An 18,970-nucleotide genomic window follows, 5' to 3' on the forward strand; every position below is an offset into this window, starting at 1 on the left:
ATCTTTCTCCCGTGCTGGATACTTCCTGCTCGCGAACACTGGACTCAAAGTTCATCAGCTTTTGGACTCTTGGACCTACACCAGTGGTTTGCCAGGGGCTCTCAGGCCTTTGGTCACAGACTGAAGGCTGCACTCTCAGTTCCCTACTTTTGAGGTTTGGGGACTCGGACTGGCTTCCCTGCTCTTCAGTTTGCAGATGGCCTATTGTAGGACTTCACCTTGTGATCGTGTGAGTCAATATTCCTTAATAAACTCCCCTTCATATATACATCTATCCTATTAGTCCTGTCCCTGTAGAGAACCCTGACTAATACAGATTTTGGTACTGGGAGTGGGGCATTACCTAAGGATAGCAGTTAGAAGAAAAATATAAACCTTTCTAGATACCAAAAGATATACCTAACTCCTCACATCCCTGCAAAGGAGAGAACAAACAAAATGTAGTCACATGGAATATTCTCTTTCTTTCTCTACGCTCAGGTACACACACACCTATTTACAGAAAATACAAAGGACACAGGAACTTGCTAAACTATCCCACAGGGAGGAAATCAGCAAAATTCAGACTCTGTAAAGCTCTTCAGGGCAAATGATCCAAATTATTCATTAAGAAATTGGATGGACATTAAAAGACATAGAGGAACAAATAACAAAGATTTAAGACACATCAGCCAATCACCATATATGAATCTTATTTGAATCCTGATTCACATTTTACAAAAATATGTTTTTCTCAAGCCAATCATGAAAATATCAACACTGACCTTATATTTCTTTATTTTAAGAAATTACTTAAAATATTAGAAGCGATAATGGTAAGGTGGTTATGTTTTTCTAAAGTTGTATATATGTTTTCAAATTGAGTATATATCTTTTACAGAAATATACTGACATATTTATGGGCAAAATTATACAATGTGTTGGGTTTGTTTCAAAATAACCTGGAGTGGAGAAGTGGATAAGGTAATAGATTACCCAAGATTCACCACATGTTGATAATTGTTGAAGCTGGTGATAAATACTTTGATATAAAGTATTTTTTCTCTACTCTTACAGATATTTGAAAAAATCTATAGGAAAAATGTTGAAGGACCAAGAGAAGTGAGAAGATAGAGAAATGTCTTGGAGACAGAAATGATCTAATATACTATGGCATGGGATGATGGGGGACCATGAGGGAACTAGAAGTATCAGAGCAGCAGCCAGATCTCTGGCTTACCCAACTCATCACACGGTGGTTGTACTAACCAGCTCGAAGACCTGTGAAGTCTCCAGAACTGAAAGAAAGACTTGGCAGGATGGATTTCTAATGGGGGCTCTCTTTCTGCCTGGCAGGTGGCTGCCTTCCCACTACATCCTCAAATGATAGAAAGAGAAAGAACTCTGGTCTCTCTTCCCCCTACCTTTTTTTTTTCTTTTTTTAAGATGGAGTTTCACTCTGTTGCCAGGCTGCAGTGCAGTGGTGTAATCTCAGCTCACTGCAACCTCTGCCTCCCGGGTTCAAGCGATTCTCCTGCCTCAGCCTCCCGAGTAGCTGGAACTACAGGCACACGCCACCACACCCAGCTAATTTTTTGTATTTTTAGTAGAGACGGGGTTTCACTGTGTTAGCCAGGATGGTCTTGACTGCCTGACCTTGTGATCCTTCTGCCTCGGCCTCCCAAAGTGCTGGGATTACAGGTGTGAGCCACCGTGCCCGGCCTCTCTTCCTCTTTTTATAAGAACACCAGTCCAATAGGATTAGGATCTCATCTTTATGACCTCATTTCATCTTACTTACCTCCTAAAGATCCTGTCTCCACAAGCGTCACATTAGGGGTTAGGATTTCAACATTTACATTTCGAGGGAACATAACTTAGTCCACAGCAAGGATGTCATTTACTGAGATGGAAAAGACGGGGAAAGAACACTGGAAAAAGATAAGTCTACCCTCGTCACAAAGTGAGGATATTAGATTTTCAAATCAACAAAGCTGACCAAAGGTAGGGGGACCCATTACCACAATGAAGGTTTTGAAATAAGAATAACAGCACCATCAATCTATCACTCACTTTCCTTAACCAGGAACTGTGACAGGTGCTTTCTAAGCATCATCTCATTTCCTTCTCTTCTACTCCTCATATTACAGATGACAAAGCTGAAGTACAGAGAAGTTGAGTCACTTGTCCAAGGCCATATGCTGGCAAATGGTGGAATGGGGCCCTGTCTGATGTCAGAATCTACACTTTGTTTCATTCCATTCCCCCACAGTGGAAAATCTCTGACTTTGGAGTCATAGAGGTCTGCGTTGGAATCTTGGTTTTGCCATTTACTTGTTGAGAGGATTTGGGTAAGTGATAACTTCTCTGAACTTCAGTATCTTCATCTTTAAAATGAAGACTATAATATCATCCTCTCAAGGCTTTCATGACAATAAGGTTGTGTACGGACAGTGATTGCCACAGAGCAAGCACTTCAAGGGGGCAGCAGCTATTGTTAATATTACCATTTTGTTATGTACTTTTATTCACCCTATGCTCCCTTCCCTGGAGGCCCTCAGGAATGTTACTTCTCTGACATCCCTGACAATTTTTACCCCCTTGTTCACAAGTATCCTCCTCACAACAGACCAACAGACTGGAGTGCCCTTTGGGTAGGGATGGGCCCAGAATGGGTAGGGCTGGATGTTGTGACTCATTGCTTCCTTCCCTCATTCCTGACCACCTATAACTGCCAAATGGGATAAGATGACCAGTATCTCAGCCACAGTATCTCAGGACAGGCCTGGCTTCACACACTGATCCCACTGTTAGACCTTTCCCATTTGTGGGGCTCATAAAATGTTCTGCATATTTACAATAACCTGAGTTTCTACTCCTGCTGTTGCAAAGCAGTTCAGTGGATGTCCTGCCCTGTGCAAATCTTCCAGTTGCCGCTGACCATTATTCCAGGTCATTATTCCAGGTAGAGTTTCTCAGCTATCAGGCCCCGTAAAGAGCCCTGGGCAATAGACATCTCAGGTCAGCTTGCACCAGTTTTATGGCATTGAGGTAAACATGTCCCATTTCTGGACCTGAGCGTCCTCATCAGAGGCTAGGTTAGACGGAGCTCTAAGAGCCACATCAACCCTGGGGCTGAGCATCTGTTGAGGCCCCAGCTCACGTAGGCTCCCATGTTGATTTTCGAGTGAAACGTGGAAAGCGTGTGGTTCAGTTGCACAGTGGAGGTTGGTTGCACCTCCCAACCCCCATCCTTAAAGTGTGCCTACTTCTCCATCAGAAAGAAAACCTAATAAGGTGAAAAGCAGATTTCATAATTCCTTGTAATTCTCTTTGAGGGCTTCACAACATGGATTTTCTGTGCAATTACCTACAGAGAGCAGAAGCGATTAGAAACGCAGAAAGTTTTCTGGGTGTCATGTTAAGGCCTGACATGTGAGGAAGGAGGCTTAGAAGGCTGCACCCTCAGGAAAAAAGAGTTTAGCACTCATTTACACAGGGCCTGTTAGGTGCCTAGACCAAGCCCCAAATTGTTGAAAAATAATATCTTAAATATACAAACATCATCTATGTCCTTAAGGCTATTACAATTTACCTCAAAAGACAAAAACAACATGATTCCCAGATTCCTGTTTTTTAAATATATGGTGGTTTATTCACACACAGTCAAGATTCCCTATGGCTCTGGGAACCTACACTCCAGGAGGAGATGGGGAGGGAATGACCAAGTGACTCACAGAGCCCAAGGTGCTGTCCACAGGAAGGTAGTTGTCACCTCATGTTTATGGGATAGTGGGAGAAGGAGCAGAGATTAAGGCGGGAATGGGAAGTGACCCCTTGCTCAGGATCACACAGTTAGCTTGTCAGAGAAAAGCCCAGAAAAGGTCCTGGCCAGGCCTCAGGTGACCCCTGCAGACACAGACTGCACCACTACAGGTTGGCCTAGGGGCAGGAGTTGGGATCTTGGAGTTGACAGCCATTTTTCTCAGCTGTAAAATGGCTCAGAGGATTTTTGTCAGGGTTGCCACTCTGCTTTGTAAACTATGAAACACTGTATATGCGTGACCCAGATATTTAGAAAAGATGAAATAAAGCCTCATTATTATGCATCATTGATATTTTAAATTACATGTATTAACAATAATAACAGGATTAAGCCCATAGAATCTCAAGAGCTAGAAGTGTTCTCTCATCAGCCTTCCTTATCTGGTGTTGGCATCCCCTGTTCTCTATCTGTGCCAAGTGGTATTAATCTCATTACAAATGATGAACACATTTAATTTCAGAATCCTCCCGGAGAAGAGAGCTACTTTAGGAGAAATTCTCATATACATCCTCCAGCCAGCCTGGTGTTCAATGGCTTGAGTGCCAGGCCTGTGGGACCTGTAGTGGGGAGGGCCAGGCCATCACTCTGACCCTCTTGGGAAACCCAGAGCTCCAGAGACCACAGAGTGACCCAAGCCTCTGTGGCTTTACCTGGGCCCAGCTGAAGTCTCTGTGACGCCCATTGTCTTCCTGCCAAGCTGGTCCTGCTTTTCATGACTTGGAGAAGATAAGAAAGCAGAGAGGGACAGGGGACAGCTGATATCCCCTGTGGCCCTGGATGAACACTTTGTTTTAGTTTTTACCAATGGAGGATCTCATAAGAACCCATAAATTTCCAGCCCTCCCTGCTGTAGCACTCAGGCTGGTCATGAGAAGCCAATACAGTTGCATTCAGCACCAGCACACACTGTCATCTTGGTGCCTTCATCATCCCTCACCCAACTACCTGTTTCTCAGGACTGCCACAGCGGCCTTACAGCTGAACATCCATGGGCCCAAGTCTCCCACAGTACCAGGTCTTCTGGTACAGGGGTCCATTCCTTGTAGAAATAAGAGTTCTCCTCTTATTAAAGTGAAAATACACATAGGATTGTTCTCCAACTAAACCACAAGTACCAAGTCACCTAGTGACAGACGAGGCTGTGCTCAAAAAAGGTTGAAGACTGCTGTTAGCCCCCTCAGGCAGAGTGAAGGGCTGTGGGTGTGGTATACAGGGGCTGGCAGACAGAAGGCCAGGCCCTCTTTACACACTTCCCCTAACGTCCAGCTTCCCTTCGCCGCAGACCCACTGATCCTGACTGGAAGATGATCCTAACCTGGTCATCTGAGCTCACCAACCCAAACCCTGGCAATAACATACAAAATGCTGTTCTCAAGTGCTTTGAGGGGGGTCTGGTTGACGGGCCAGTCTCCTTGGGCCAAAACAAAACTTCCAAGTTCTTCTAAAGTTTGCTGCCAAGGCTAAGGGACTCTGTCCACATTAAAGTGTTGGCTCTGGTGTTGATGCTACATGGAAAATATCTTTAGGTCACAGCTGAGATTCAGGACAAGGAGACTCGGGGTTGTGATAGAAGACAAAACATCTAGTTAGGTAGGTCTGTGTGCCAGGTATAAGAAGATCGGGGAAAGGTACTACTCTAATTTCCATTCCAAAACTATTATAGAAGGAGTTTGAAAAGATATCTTGAATTCATGGGTGGTCTTCCTCTCCCTCTTAACACACAATTGCATCATTTGGGCTGTCAGAAGTCAAAAAGTGGGTACTGAACAGTATGTAAAATTATATTCTAACATCTCTAGAGAACTCAAATTGTCATTCTCATCCTCGAAAGTTCAAATGGACACCCCCTCTCGTTTACAGAGAAGAAAACTGAGGCTAAACGTTTAAGTAGCTTTTCCAGATTTGCACAGGACTCAGAACTTACAAGGTGGAGTGGATCTCAGGACGGGTGATCTAATTTCCTACCTGGAGCTCTGGCAAGTACCCACCCTCCCACCTCATCTCTCTTATTTAACACCACCACATCACACATTCGATGGAGACACGAGAAGTGATACTGAGAAACACAAAGCAGCAAAAACAATGCCCTAGAAGCAGACCATGAAAGATCTTGGAAGACTGACCAGTCTTCAGGCTTGGCAGGCTGCGCCAGAGCTTCCCACAGAGCCCACGGGTCCCTGCTGGCTCTGAAGTGGGCTGTGGGGGTGCCTGTGGAATCTGCCCTCCACTGGTGGAAGAAGTGAGGGGTAAGAAAGAAGGATTCAGCCAGAAACAAATGGGAGCCCCCTAGGATAGCCAGAGCTCACATGCAGCCCCCTCCACAGGTGGCTCCCAGCCCACCATTCCTGCAGGGAGAAGGAGGGCACAGTGGGGGCCACATGCCTGGAGAGCCCAAGGAGATCCAGCCATCACTACTGGGACTAGGCCCCAGGGCCTGTCCAGCCTCCTGCCCAACTGCCTCTGAGAAAAGGGGATGGGGTGAAGGGAAAAAGTGAGGGAGAGAAGTCTATCTCTCAGCCAGGAAGAGCAAAGTCCCCCAGGCTCTCCCTAAATGCCCTGGGGCTCACTTGGCCACCCCTGCAGAACCACACACTCAGGCCTCCTCCAGTTAGAGGTTGAGTGTTTTTTCCCACCCCCCAGGCATGGGTGCTGGGAAATGATGGACTTAATAAAGTTTAACAAAGAAATGCAGTAGCCCTCTTTGGGTGGATAGTCCTCTTCTTTGGATGGGAGAAATAGGAACTTTCAGAAGATTCTAAGACATCTGGATAAACCAAGACTCTCTGAGTGGAGGCTGAAAAGTGATAAAGATTTTTGAGATCCTGGGCCTTCCAAAAAGCTCCACGACCCAACCTCCATGAAGGGAAGGCTCAGGCCAAGGGAGTGAGAGCTTTTAGAAAATTCCACAGTCCCTAAAGAGGCCATACGGTGACCTTTCAAGATGATAGGTTGAATGGGAAGGGAGACAATAGGGGTTCTGAAAGCTGAGCCTTCTAGAAAGTTCCACAGGTTGAGATAGCCCTCAACCCAACCTCCATGAAGGAAAGGCTGGGGCCCAGAGGATGAGACCTGTGCCTTCCAGAAAGCGCCATGATCTGGTAACTGACTTGTGACCCAGCAGGGGCATGGTGGAAAGGTGGGCAGTGTTTCCTACCTGGAGCTCTATCACGTACCCACCCTCCAACTTCCTCTCTCTAATTTAACATCACCACATCACACATTCAAAGAAAAGACTAGAAGTGACACTGAAAAACACAAGGCAACAGAAACAATGCCCAAGGGTTGACATAAAAACAAAGACACAGGCCATGCAAGAGCTTGGAAGACTGACCAGCCTTCAGGCTTGGCAATCACCACCCTATTACACCTCTAAAAAAAACCAAGGCCAGAAAGACCATGTCATTGTTATCCATTGTCAGTGACAAGGCTGGAAACTTGACTGGCCTGATGCCAAAATCCCATTATAATCTGAAGCCTCAAGTAAGGTAAGACATTTGGGACAGGGCCAGTGCACAGAATTGGAGGGATAAGAGGAAACCCTTCCTCTTGTTAGAAATCTTCCTCACCGTCCTCCCTTCAGGAGCCAGAGACCCCTAATCTTACCCCTCAAGTGCCAGAAACCTCGAGTCTCCCGCTTGCAGGGGCCAGGAAACCCCAGGTCTCAACCACCAGAGTACAGCCTCTGGGAGAGTCACTGAGACAGTCCACGAGAGAAGGAGCAGCCAGGAGATCCCCCAGCTCCTTGTACTGGAAGGTGGTCTGGCCCTCAGTCTAGTTAGGCCTTGGCATCCTGGTATCAACTGGTTTAACTGCCGTGTATCCCACTGTCTGGAAAGTGTACCAGATGACCCAGAGACCACCTTCGCATGGCTTCTGAGGCAGGAATCAGAGGCACAAGCTGCCTGCCGAGATTCCAAAGCACTGGTGTCACCCTGAGGGGTGGAAAGGAACGTCACAGTGGGTGGCCACCCCATGCTTGCTTTGGGGACTGATACTAGGGGTTCAGGACACCTGTAAGGGGTCTAAGGCAACTGAGTGTTTCAGCATTGTAGGGCCTAGGCAGCTGATCCCCTGTGAGATGAACCAAGGCTGTTGTGGCCGACTGGTGGTCTAGGCCCCTGGTGGGCCTTGAGATGTTAGGACACAGGCTGGGCACTGGGCAGCTGATATGCTCCAGGAATAGCCAAGGCACCCCGTCTAAGAGGCAACCCTGTGGATGCAACATTGTAGGAAACAGGTGGCCAGGAGCCAATGTGCTTTTCAGGAGATAACAGTGTCTCCTCTCTGAAGGCCCATTGGCAAGTGGGCACTGGACAGCCAAGCCTGCACATGCTAAATCAACTAAGGCACTAAGATCATCCTCTAGTCCTTTCTGGGGCTGGCAGCAGAGGTGCTGGTGTGGCCCAGTGACAGGGGACCAATGGAACTGGCAAGATAATATACTTGAAAGACATCCCCCGTCTGGGAGGTGGGGGGTGCCTCCGCCTGGCCGCCGCCCCATCTGGGGGTGGGGGGCCCCTCTGCCCGGCTGCCATGTCTGGGAGGTGATGAGCCCCTCTGCCCGGCCGCCACCCCGTCTGGGAGGTGTACCCAACAGCTCATTGAGAACGGGCCATGATGACGATGGCGGTTTTGTCGAATAGAAAAGGGGGAAATGTGGGGAAAAAAAGAGAGATCAGATTGTTACTGTGTCTGTGTAGAAAGAAGTAGACATAGGAGACTCCATTTTATTCTGTACTAAGAAAAATTCTTCTGCCTTGGGATGCTGTTAATCTAGAACCTTACCCCCAACCCCGTGCTCTCTGAAACATGTGCTGTGTCAACTCAGGGTTAAATGGATTAAGGGCGGTGCAAGATGTGCTTTGTTAAACAGATGCTTGAAGGCAGCATGCTCCTTAAGAGTCATCACCACTCCCTAATCTCAAGGACCCAGGGACACAAACACTGCGGAGGGCCGCAGGGTCCTCTGCCTAGGAAAACCAGAGACCTTTGTTCACATGTTTATCTGCTGACATTCCCTCCACTATTGTCCTATGACCCTGCCAAATCCCCCTCTCCAAGAAACACCCAAGAATGATCAATAAACACTAAAAAAAAATTAAAAAAAAAAAAGACATCAAGAACATGGGGTGTGTACTTCCTACTAACTTTTGAGACTTGCAGAGGCCCAGGCCAACTGTCAAGGGTCAAAGCACTGCATGAACTTAACAGTGGGAGTTTAGAGAAGGTTGGGCATCCAGGGCACCAGAAGGAGGAGCAGGCCATGAGGAGGTGAATGTGAAGGCCAGCCGGCAATGCACACTGAAAACCACAAAGGCCATGCCAAGGCAAGCCTCAATGGCTTCGGCAGCTGGTACTGGTGGTCCAGGCTCCTTGCCAAGGGGCTGAGGCATTGATGTAACTCTGGGGATGTGGGTTATGTGGGCAAATTGGGGGCCAGGCAGCCATGCCCTCTAAGAAGAATCAAGTCAATGTGCCAACTACTACTGCCAAGGTTTGAGGCTTTAGTGCTGACCCAGTGAAGCAGGGTCCAGTAAGACCAGCCAATACACCTTAGGTAAACCAAGGCAGTGTGAAAACAATGCTCTGTTTCTGGGGTATTGGTGTGGCCCCAGGGATCTAGGGCGAAGGGGCCCAGGCAGCCACGATACTCTGAGAATTTCCAAGGCAATGCAGTGGCTTCCCTGCAAGGTCTTTTGTGGCTGGAACCCATGGTTCAGGCCCCTTTCCAAGGAGTCATTGGTGTGGCCCCAGCAATAAGGAGAACATGGGGAAAATGTGGAGCCCAACTCACAGAATTGACAGATAAAATACAGAATGCCCAGCCTAATTTGAACTTTAGATAAACCACAAATAATGGCATGAAACATACTTACAAAATATTATTTGTTGTTTATCTGAAATTTAAATGTCACTGAGCATTCTGTATCTTTATTTGCTAAATCTTGCAACGTGCGATCCATTCAGCCCATGTATTCTAAGAACCCAGGCAGCACAGAGGCCACCCTCATCGCTGTGGGGCTGGCACCAGATGCTTTGTCACTGCCAAGGGTGAGTCCCTCCTGTGGCCACAGTGGTGTGGGAAAACACCAAGGCAAACCACGATGACCCTCTAATGCAGCCCTGCCCAACGGAGGCACGTGGGTCATTTTACACATGTGCCTCAGTAGCCACATTAAAAAGTAAAAAGAAATAGGTGAAATTAATTTGAATAACCCAATATAGCCAAAATAATATCCTTTCAACATGTAATCAATATAAACATATTAATGAGATATTTCACATTTCTTTTTTAGGACTAAAGTTTCAAAGTCTGGTGTGTAGCTTGGTGCATCTCAACTTGAACTAGGCACATTTCAACATTTGAAGCGCTCACTAGCCACTTATACCATGGTGCAGCTTTTTTTTTCTTTTTTCTTTTTTCTTTTTTAAGACAGGGCCTCGCTCTGTCCCCCAGGCTGTAGTGCAGTGGTGCAATCTCAGCTCACTGCAGCCTCAAAGCCTGGGGCTCAAGCAATCCTCCCACCTTGGTCTCCCCAAGCAGCTGAGACTACAGGTGCACCCCACCACATGTGGATAATTTTTGTATTTTTTGTAGAGATGGGGTTTTACCATGTTGCTCAGGCTGGTCTTGAACTCCTGGCCTCAAGTAATCCACCTGCCTCAGCCTCCCAAAGTGCTGGAAATACAGGCATGAACCATCATGTCCAACCCATAGTGCAGCTCTTATAGCATCTGGGGATGGCACTCAGCACCTTGCCAAGAGTTCCAGGCCTTGGTGGATTCTAGTGATGTTAAGGATGCAGGGGCCAGGGAGCCAATGAACTCTAAGAAGAACCAAGGCAATGTGAGGACTACTTTCTCATGACTACTTGGGTTTCCCTGATGGCCCAGCCCCCTGCCAAGGGTCTGTGGTTTTGGGGTAAGCCCAGGGATGTGGGAGACTGGACAGTCAACACACTCTGGGAAGAAACAAGGTAAGGCTTACATTCCTCTCTAATGGGTGTAGAGACAGGCACCAAAGCCCCAGGCCCCAAGCCTAGGGTCTGAGTCAATGGAGTTGCCATTAATTTGGGGGAGATTTAAAGTTATTTGAAGGGGGCTAAGCAGCCGGGTAATATCTGTGGCAAGAGCCAAGTTAATGCAGTGACTATGTTCCAATGACTACAGTGGCTGACCTCAGAAATCAAGACCCCCTGATGACAGGTGATGTGGGGAGTGGTAGCCAACCAATATTGTCCTCAAAGAATCAGGCGACATGGTGAGCTCTGGAGTTGTCACAAAGGCACAAGGCCCTGCCAAGGGTCCCAAACACTGATGTGGCCTATATGACTTGAGGAAGAGGAGTGGGTGGGAGTCAATACACTCTCAGAAATAAATTCAAGGCATGTTGTCTTGCAGGTGGGGCCAAGCAGCCACTGTGGTCAATTTCACTCTCTGCCCCAGTAGCACTCAGATCCCACCCTCCAGAGCCATTCCTCCTCCCAGGACCTGTGCTCTTCCTCCAAGAATGTCTCTAGCTGACATTCTTGGCATGGCAACTGGGCACAAAGTATGCCTACCCCCTGGGATGGCCCACACCAGGCAAACAAAGCAGGGAGAGGTTGTCATTTTCTCTTGTTATATAAGTTCCTACACAATTGCCTCTGGTCCTCAAAGCCTAAAATGTTTGCTAATCCCTACTCTATATCATGACTTTCAGAGGCTGGACCAAAGGTCAAGACCCCTGCCAGGGATCTTAGGCCCCAGGGTGGCTCCTGTGATACGTGGGAGGGGGCCAGGCAGGCAAAACACCAAAAACCGAGACAACATGGTACCCACATTCTAGTGCTTTCTGAGACTGGCACTAGAAGCTAGGTTTCCTGCCAAGATTTGACACTTGGCATGCCCCTGGAGATGACATCAGCCCCGGGGGCGGGGGTTGATGTCCCTGAGATTGCATCAGCCCCAGGGGACAATGTGAGCTCCCTAATGACCTGCCACTGAAGGGCGAGTGAAGAGACCCTTCACCAGGGCAGCCTGCTTACTCAACTATGCATTGCCAGAAAGGTGGCTGGCATGGGGCAGACAGAATCATTTCATTCCCTGGTCAGGAGTTTTCCTGGTGGAGGACCAGTTGTAAAATATGGGTGTATGAGGGATCCACAGAAAATGTAGCCACATAGGGATGGAACTGTCTAACACGTGTGATGTCGGTAAACTCAATGAGCGGAGGATGGCAGAATGGTTCTGCTCTGTTAATAGCTCCAAGGTGGAAGGAAAATGTGGATGTGTGTTCTGAAGTAGGAGCCTTGGAAAAAAGCTGGCCCAAAAGAGGAGCTCCTCTTCTTGTGCGACAGGACAGGAGGGTGAAGGAGAGTACAGAGACCCACCAAACTGACGAGCTGGGAATTTAAAGTCATTAACTTGGAGAGGTCTAAGATGATTGGGCATTACCTCTGTCTGCAGAGTAGGGTTGAAGATGGAGGGCAGAGAAAGGTGGAGGCAGGAGTGGGGAAAAAAAGGGAAAGGAGTAGGGTAGTCAGTGCAGGAGGTGCTTAGAGCACATTTGCAGCTTAGCATAAAGACTAGAGCCTCTTGAAGAGGGCTTAAAAAGGTCAGAGGACAGCATTCAGATTCGTGTCTTCCGGCTAAATGAAGTTGTATGGGCCATTCTCAGAAAATGTTGGGTATTGTGGTCCCAGGCTGAGAAAGTATCCAGAAGGTCAAGGTGCCCCATGACCAGGGTTCAGGTTTGGCAAATCAGGGGCTGCTGAGCTCTGAGTGTGTGTGCCCCCCAAAGTCATATGTTGAAATCCTGTCCCCCAATGTGATGTATTAGGAGGCAGGGCCTTTGGGAGGCGACAAGGTCTTGAGGGTGGAGCTTTCATGAATGGGGTTTGTGCCCTTATAAAAGAAGCACCAGAGAGCTGCCTTGCCCCTTCTGCCATGTGAGGGTGCAGCAAGAAGGCCATCTATGGACCAAGAACGGGGCCCTCAGCGGACATTGAATCTGCCGGAGCCTTGATGTTGGGCTTCTCAGCCTCCAGGACTGTGAAAAATAAATTTGTTTTTGTTGTTGTTGTTGCTGCTGTTGTTGTTGTTGTTGTTGCTTCAAGATGGAGTCTGGCTCTGTCACCCAGGCTGGAGTGCCGTGGTGTTATCTCGGCTCACTGCAACCTCCGCCTCCCAGGTTCAAGCGATTCTCCTGCCTCAGCCTCCCAAGTAGTTGGGATTACATGCACGCGCCACCACGCCCAGCTAATTTTTGTGTTTTTAGTAGAGATGGGGTTTCACTGTGTTGGCCAGGCTTGTGTTGAACTCCTGACCTTGTGATCCAATCGCCTCAGCCTCCCAAAGTGCTGGGATTACAGGTGTGAGCCACCATGCCCAGCCGATAAATTTGTTTTTAAAAATAAATTTGGCGATAATATATTTAAATAAATTTCTCTTTATAAGCCATCCAGTCTGAAATTTGTGATAGCAGTCCTAACAGACTAGGACAGGAGCCAGACCCTTTAAAGGATAAGAGGATCTCTGTGCTATCAAAGGGAAATGGCTGACGGAGGTGGTGTCAGGTGTGCAAGGGGAGTAAGGACATCATGAAGCTGGAAGGAGACTTTGGAGGAAGCCGAGGCCCAGCACTGCAGTGAGAGTATATAAGAGCTCAGCAGCAGTTCAGTTTGGAGTTGAGATTAATAAAAGGAGCAGGAGTTAGGGTCAAAAGAGAAGCCTAAGTTTTGAGATCTCGGACGTGTGGAAGGTATCTGTCAAGGCCCAGCTTATGGTTTTGCCCATGGTAGCAGAAAGTAGTTGAAGAGGCATGGCAACAGGAAACCAGGATTCTAGAAAGGTCACTAACAAGGATATTGAAGTGACTATGGATGCCCACCTGGCAGGATGAAGAGACCACAGGACAGGTTCTAACCTTTCTGGAAGGTGGGAGAAGTGTTCAAGGCATGCAAGTGGTGGTAATAAATTACACGTGGTACACTTTGCAACAAGAGCTGTGAAGTATGTTTTAGATTTATAGGATTGAGTGGAGCAATTTTCTGTTCTCCTGGAGATGGGAGGTGAAGAGGGAATGGAAAGGCGAGGGACATTTCAGTTATGTACAGTGGTACAAGATGTGAACCAGAAAAGCTTTGGTGAGCGGGAGAGTTCATCATCAAGAGAGGTGATGGGAGTGCAGGAGTCCTACTGCTTAGTGCTTACTATTCAAACCCATGCTCCAACTCTCATCTTGGAAGTATTTACAAGAGGAGTGCATTGGTTCTCATGGAAAATGGGCAGAAAGGTCACAGATGCATCTATTGCTGCTGGGCAGAAATGACCAGCTCAGAAGTCAAAGACAAGGAAATAGAGGTTAGTTACATTATATAGATATGCTTCTTTCATTTACTGCAAATTCTGGTACATCTACATTCTGATACATCTGTATCTCTAAGTTTGGTGTAAAATGCTCTGTGATTTCAAGTTGCTGTGGAGAAATCTTTCTGTGCACTTGAGCTCTTCTGGAACTCCAGAGACACCAAGGATAATGCTTCAAACAACTACAAAATTCTCACAATTGATGACTACATTTACCCCTTCTCTTTTTTAAGCATAAAAATTGTTTAGTGCAATGTCTGCTTTCCGTGTAAGATCTGCTTAATCTGGATTCCCACTGATTTTTTCTGGGTTGTTTACGTGTTGATTTGGAAGGCTTGCAATCTCTAAGAATCTGTTAATGGTGGTCGTGTAGACCTGATCAAAGTTTGTTTATGATTTATTGTCCAAGTTTATAAGGTTTGTTTTCATTAAAGCTCTCAGAGATGGCACAAGTTCTTTCTATGAGTAAAAACTTTCTGCTCAAATAGACCACTGGATATTTCATATTCATGCATGTGAAGGAGTACTACTCCTAAATCTGCATCTTATAGCCATTATAAAAGGTTCCCAAGATACTCTTGGCTGACAGCTCCCTACATTGCAACTATGTGGATTAAATCACAGAGTAGTCTGATACTAGCGTGAAGAGCAAATCTCCTATGATACTATGCTAATCCCAGGAATGATCTGCCCTAGTTGGTATTTAATAAAGTGGTCCTTTTCTTTTATTATGGCAGCTTTTCTCTAGTACCTAATAGTGAATCTTTTGTGTCTCAAATATTTAGCTTCAACTATCCCAAGACAATAATTCACTGAGTTTTAGGACAGAGACAGAAGTAAGTGAAGATGGTCTAAGCATTCTTCAAAGCTGTTATCTGAAGTTGCTGCTGCACTCTCCATGCAGGAAATGTAATAATATAATGACTCAGCTAATGACTGAGTACCCACCATAAAGATTCCTCAGGTCAGGCAGCATTTAAACACGCCAGAGCATTATTTAAGGGGAGGGATCGAGGATTAGGCAAAGCAGATTGCATGATGATGTATTTAAGCTCTGTGCAAAAACATATGCATCCATCTAATTCTTATTGCTCTACGTGGCAGAAAATGACCTACAGACACATCGAACACCATGGCTACATAAACAGTAAGCAGAGAGCATGTATGAAGATATAGGTGCCTTTCAGTCAGGATGAGGTCAGGAAAAGAGACTCAGCATCAGTTTGTTAACAGAAGAAATTTCACAAAAGGAATTAGATAACAGATACTGGAGAGCTGAAAAGGCAAAGGCGACCACTGCAGCGACACCCTCCAGGCCAGGAGAATAAAGGGGGCAAGGATGGGGTTTTTAGAAGCTCAGGGAAAGGTGCTGATGTCTCAGCAGCTCTGAAGAGGGTCAGATGCCATTGAGGCTGTTGATGGTGTCTGGGTGACTTGGACGAGGGTCCCTGCATGCCAGGCTCAGGCATCAAAGTAACAGGCACTGACTGGCTGGGCAGGTGGCTCTAAGAGAGCATAGTGAGTCTAGTTCTGGAAGTATGAAAAGAACTGGAACCAACTGCCACCACTTGGGGCAAACAGTTGCTTGGGTGAGAAGCAACTGTTTATTATAGGAACCAAACTCAAAACAGAAAAGAATAAGCCCCTCCTCAACCTACAGAATGGGAAAAATTTTTGCAATCTACCCTCTGACAAAGGGCTAATATCCAGAATCTACAAAGAACTTAAACAAAGTTACAAGAAAGAAACAAACAACCCCATCAAAAAGTGGGCAAAGGATATGAACAGACACTTCTCAAAAGAAGACATCTATGCAGCCAACAGACACATGAAAAAATGCTCATTATCACTGGTCATCAGAGAAATGCAAATCAAAACCACGATGAAGTATCATCCCATGCCAGTTAGAATGGCAATCACTAAAAAGTCAGGAAACAACAGATGTTGGAGAGGATGTGGAGAAACAGGAATGCTTTTACACTGTTGGTGGGAGTGTAAACTAGCTCAACCATTGTGGAAGACAGTGTGGCAATTCCTCAAGGATCTAGAACTAGAATTACCTTTTGACCCAGCAATCCCATTACTGGGTATATACCCAAAGGACTATAAATCATGCTACTATAAAGACACATGCACACGTATGTTTATTGCGGCACTATTCACAATAGCAAAGACTTGGAACCAACCCAAACGTCCATCAATGATAGACTGGATAAAGAAAATGTGGCACATACACACCGTGGAATACTATGCAGCCACAAAAAAGGATGAGTTCATGTCCTTTGCAGGGACATGGATGAAGCTGGAAACCATCATTCTCAGCAAACTATTACAAGGACAGAAAGCCAAACACCGCATATTCTCACTCATAGGTGGGAATTGAACAATGAGAACACTTGGACACAGGGAGGGGAACATCACATACCGGAGCCTGTTGTGGGGTGAGGAGCTGGGGGAGAGATAGCATTAGGAGAAATACCTAACGTAAATGATGAGCTGATGGGTGCAGCAAACCAACATGGCCCATGTATACCTATGTATCAAACCTGCACGTTGTGCACATGTGCCCTAGAACTTAAAGTACAAAAAAAAAAAAAAAAAAAAAAAAAAAAGAATAAGCCCGTCCTGACGGCATGAGCCTCCTTCCAGTCTCCCTCTAGTGCCCCCTAGTGACAGAATTTGAGAAGGATCTGGCAAAGGAGGGCTGGACCTGGTAAGGTCCCAACGCAGTGTGACACAGCAGGATATATAGGAAGAGGTCAGGAGGTAAGGAGCAAAGGCTTAATAACCCAAACAAGATGCACATGCACCTTATAATCCCGTCTACATGCAGGGAGGAAGGTAAAGCAGTAAACTAGGTTACTGTGTTCTGTGTATCACCCTTACTTAAATTTGGAATAACCCTAGGGGCTTTCTTAAATCAAAGTCTTAAATTTGTTTTGCCCATCCAGTGTTTCTAAATCAGATTTTTTTTAACTGTTCCTTCAGTTATATACCAAAAGTATCTCTACAAATTGATGTTAGGAACTTTCTGAGCCCTAAATCAATATAGTAAGAGAATCATTTCTGGGTAGAATGAAAAAGAAATTTTCAGACTGGGTTCATGCTTATATTCTATACGAAGCCTAGCCCTGCTTTTCCAAAGAAGTAGTGACACATATGGAAATGACAACCAGCAAGACCCAAGTCTGACAAGGAGGCTGAATTGCCCCTTTAGAATTATCATTTCTGCCACCTCCCAGCACTTTACCACTTACCTAAAAGAAGACAAAATAATAGACTCTTTTGCTTCCAGTACCTATAATGTACATTTCCAGGTTTGTTTTGGAGTACAGCTGTGAAATCCTTCAGCACTGACATAATTCTCTTCCCTCCAATTGTGAAGTGTTCTTTGAGCAATGTAATTGTTCCCCACTGCAATTCTTACAGCAGCGTGTCAGCATGCCAATCACTTCTTCTTCTTCCAGTTCTGATTCTTCCAGTTCCCTGCTGTGTTAACACCCAGAATGAGTCCTTCCAGCTGTTGAAAGATGTCAGCATATTTATATGAACTACTTTATGTTTCCTGGGGAAATGTTCTAAAAGAAAAGAGATCTTGGCCGGTATGCTTGTGATTCTGCAGAGATGTGACTTGGCTTGCATTTATATTTTCTTTGGGGTCAGTAATAGTATTAAGTATTTCAAATGGCACATGTGACTACACAGTGTCACTTTATCTTAACTGAGCTTTGGTCATCTGTATTCCATTCAATTAGACTACACATATCACTCAGATATCTCTTCTGGAAATGAGAAAATTTGTCTTGTGGTAGGTTCTCCCAGGAAAACCTTGAAGATATCATTTATTGCAATGTTGCTGGACAGCACAAACTCATGGAACTTTTTCTGACATTTCAAATTTCTCTTTATCTTATGTTTGCATAACATTTCTTGAAGATTTCTGAAGGTACCCACAATCTGAGTGTTACACATTTTTCTTTCACTGAAAAGGGAGTTTCTTCAAGATTCTATTTTTTTGTTTTTTTGTTTTTTTGTTTTTTTTTTTTTTGAGACAGTCTCACTCTGTCACACCTAGGCCAGAGTGCAGTGGCAGGATCTCAGCTCACTGCTATCTCCACCTCCCAGCTTCAAGCGATTCTCCTGCCTCAGCCACCTGAGTAGCTGGGATTACAGGCAGGCACCATGACACCCAGCTTATTTTTGTATTTTTAGTAGAGATGGGGTTTCACCATGTTGGCCAGGCTGGTCTCGAACTCCCGACCTCGGGTGATCCACCCACCTTGGCCTCCCAAAGTGCTGGGATTACAGGTGTGAGCCACTGTGCCCAGCCTCTTCAAGATTCTTGATAGGAATTGTTAAACCTCCTGTTACAGGCTGGATTGTATCTCCAAAAAGATGTATGGAACCTGACCCCTGGTACTTGTAAATGTGACTTTATTTGAAAATAGAGTGTACAGATATCATTAAGATGAATGTTAAGATGAGATCATACTGGAGTAGGTCAGGCCTTTAATCCAATATGACTGGTGTCCTTATGAAAGGAAGAGAGAGAGAGAGACAGAGGGAAGACAGCCGTGTGAAGATAGAGGCAGAGATTGGCCACAAACCGAGGAATACCTGGGGCTACCAAAAGCTGGAAGAGGCAAGAAAAGACCCTTCCTCCCCTAGAGGCTTCAGAGACAGCATATCATTGCCAACACTTTGATTTTGGACTTTTGGCCTCCAGAACTGTGAAAAAGTAAATTTACGCTGTTTTAAGCCACCCAGTTTATGGTACTTTGTTTCTGTAGCCTTAGAAAACTAATACACCTCTCA

At 45.9% G+C, this 18,970-nt stretch overlaps 1 long non-coding RNA gene across 1 annotated transcript in view; it reads right to left on the reverse strand.

The window, feature by feature from the left end:
• Positions 1 to 17,673, reverse strand: part of LOC105375053 (uncharacterized) — a 30,660-nt gene extending 12,987 nt beyond the window's left edge. Inside the window, exon 1 of the long non-coding RNA XR_926790.3 lies at positions 17,413 to 17,673. This is a non-coding gene — a long non-coding RNA (uncharacterized LOC105375053). The remainder of the gene's footprint in view (positions 1 to 17,412) is intronic.
• Positions 17,674 to 18,970: the final 1,297 nt, after the last annotated feature.

Source organism: Homo sapiens, chromosome 6, assembly GCF_000001405.40.
Source record: "Homo sapiens chromosome 6, GRCh38.p14 Primary Assembly".
Taxonomy (NCBI): Eukaryota; Metazoa; Chordata; class Mammalia; order Primates; family Hominidae; genus Homo; species Homo sapiens.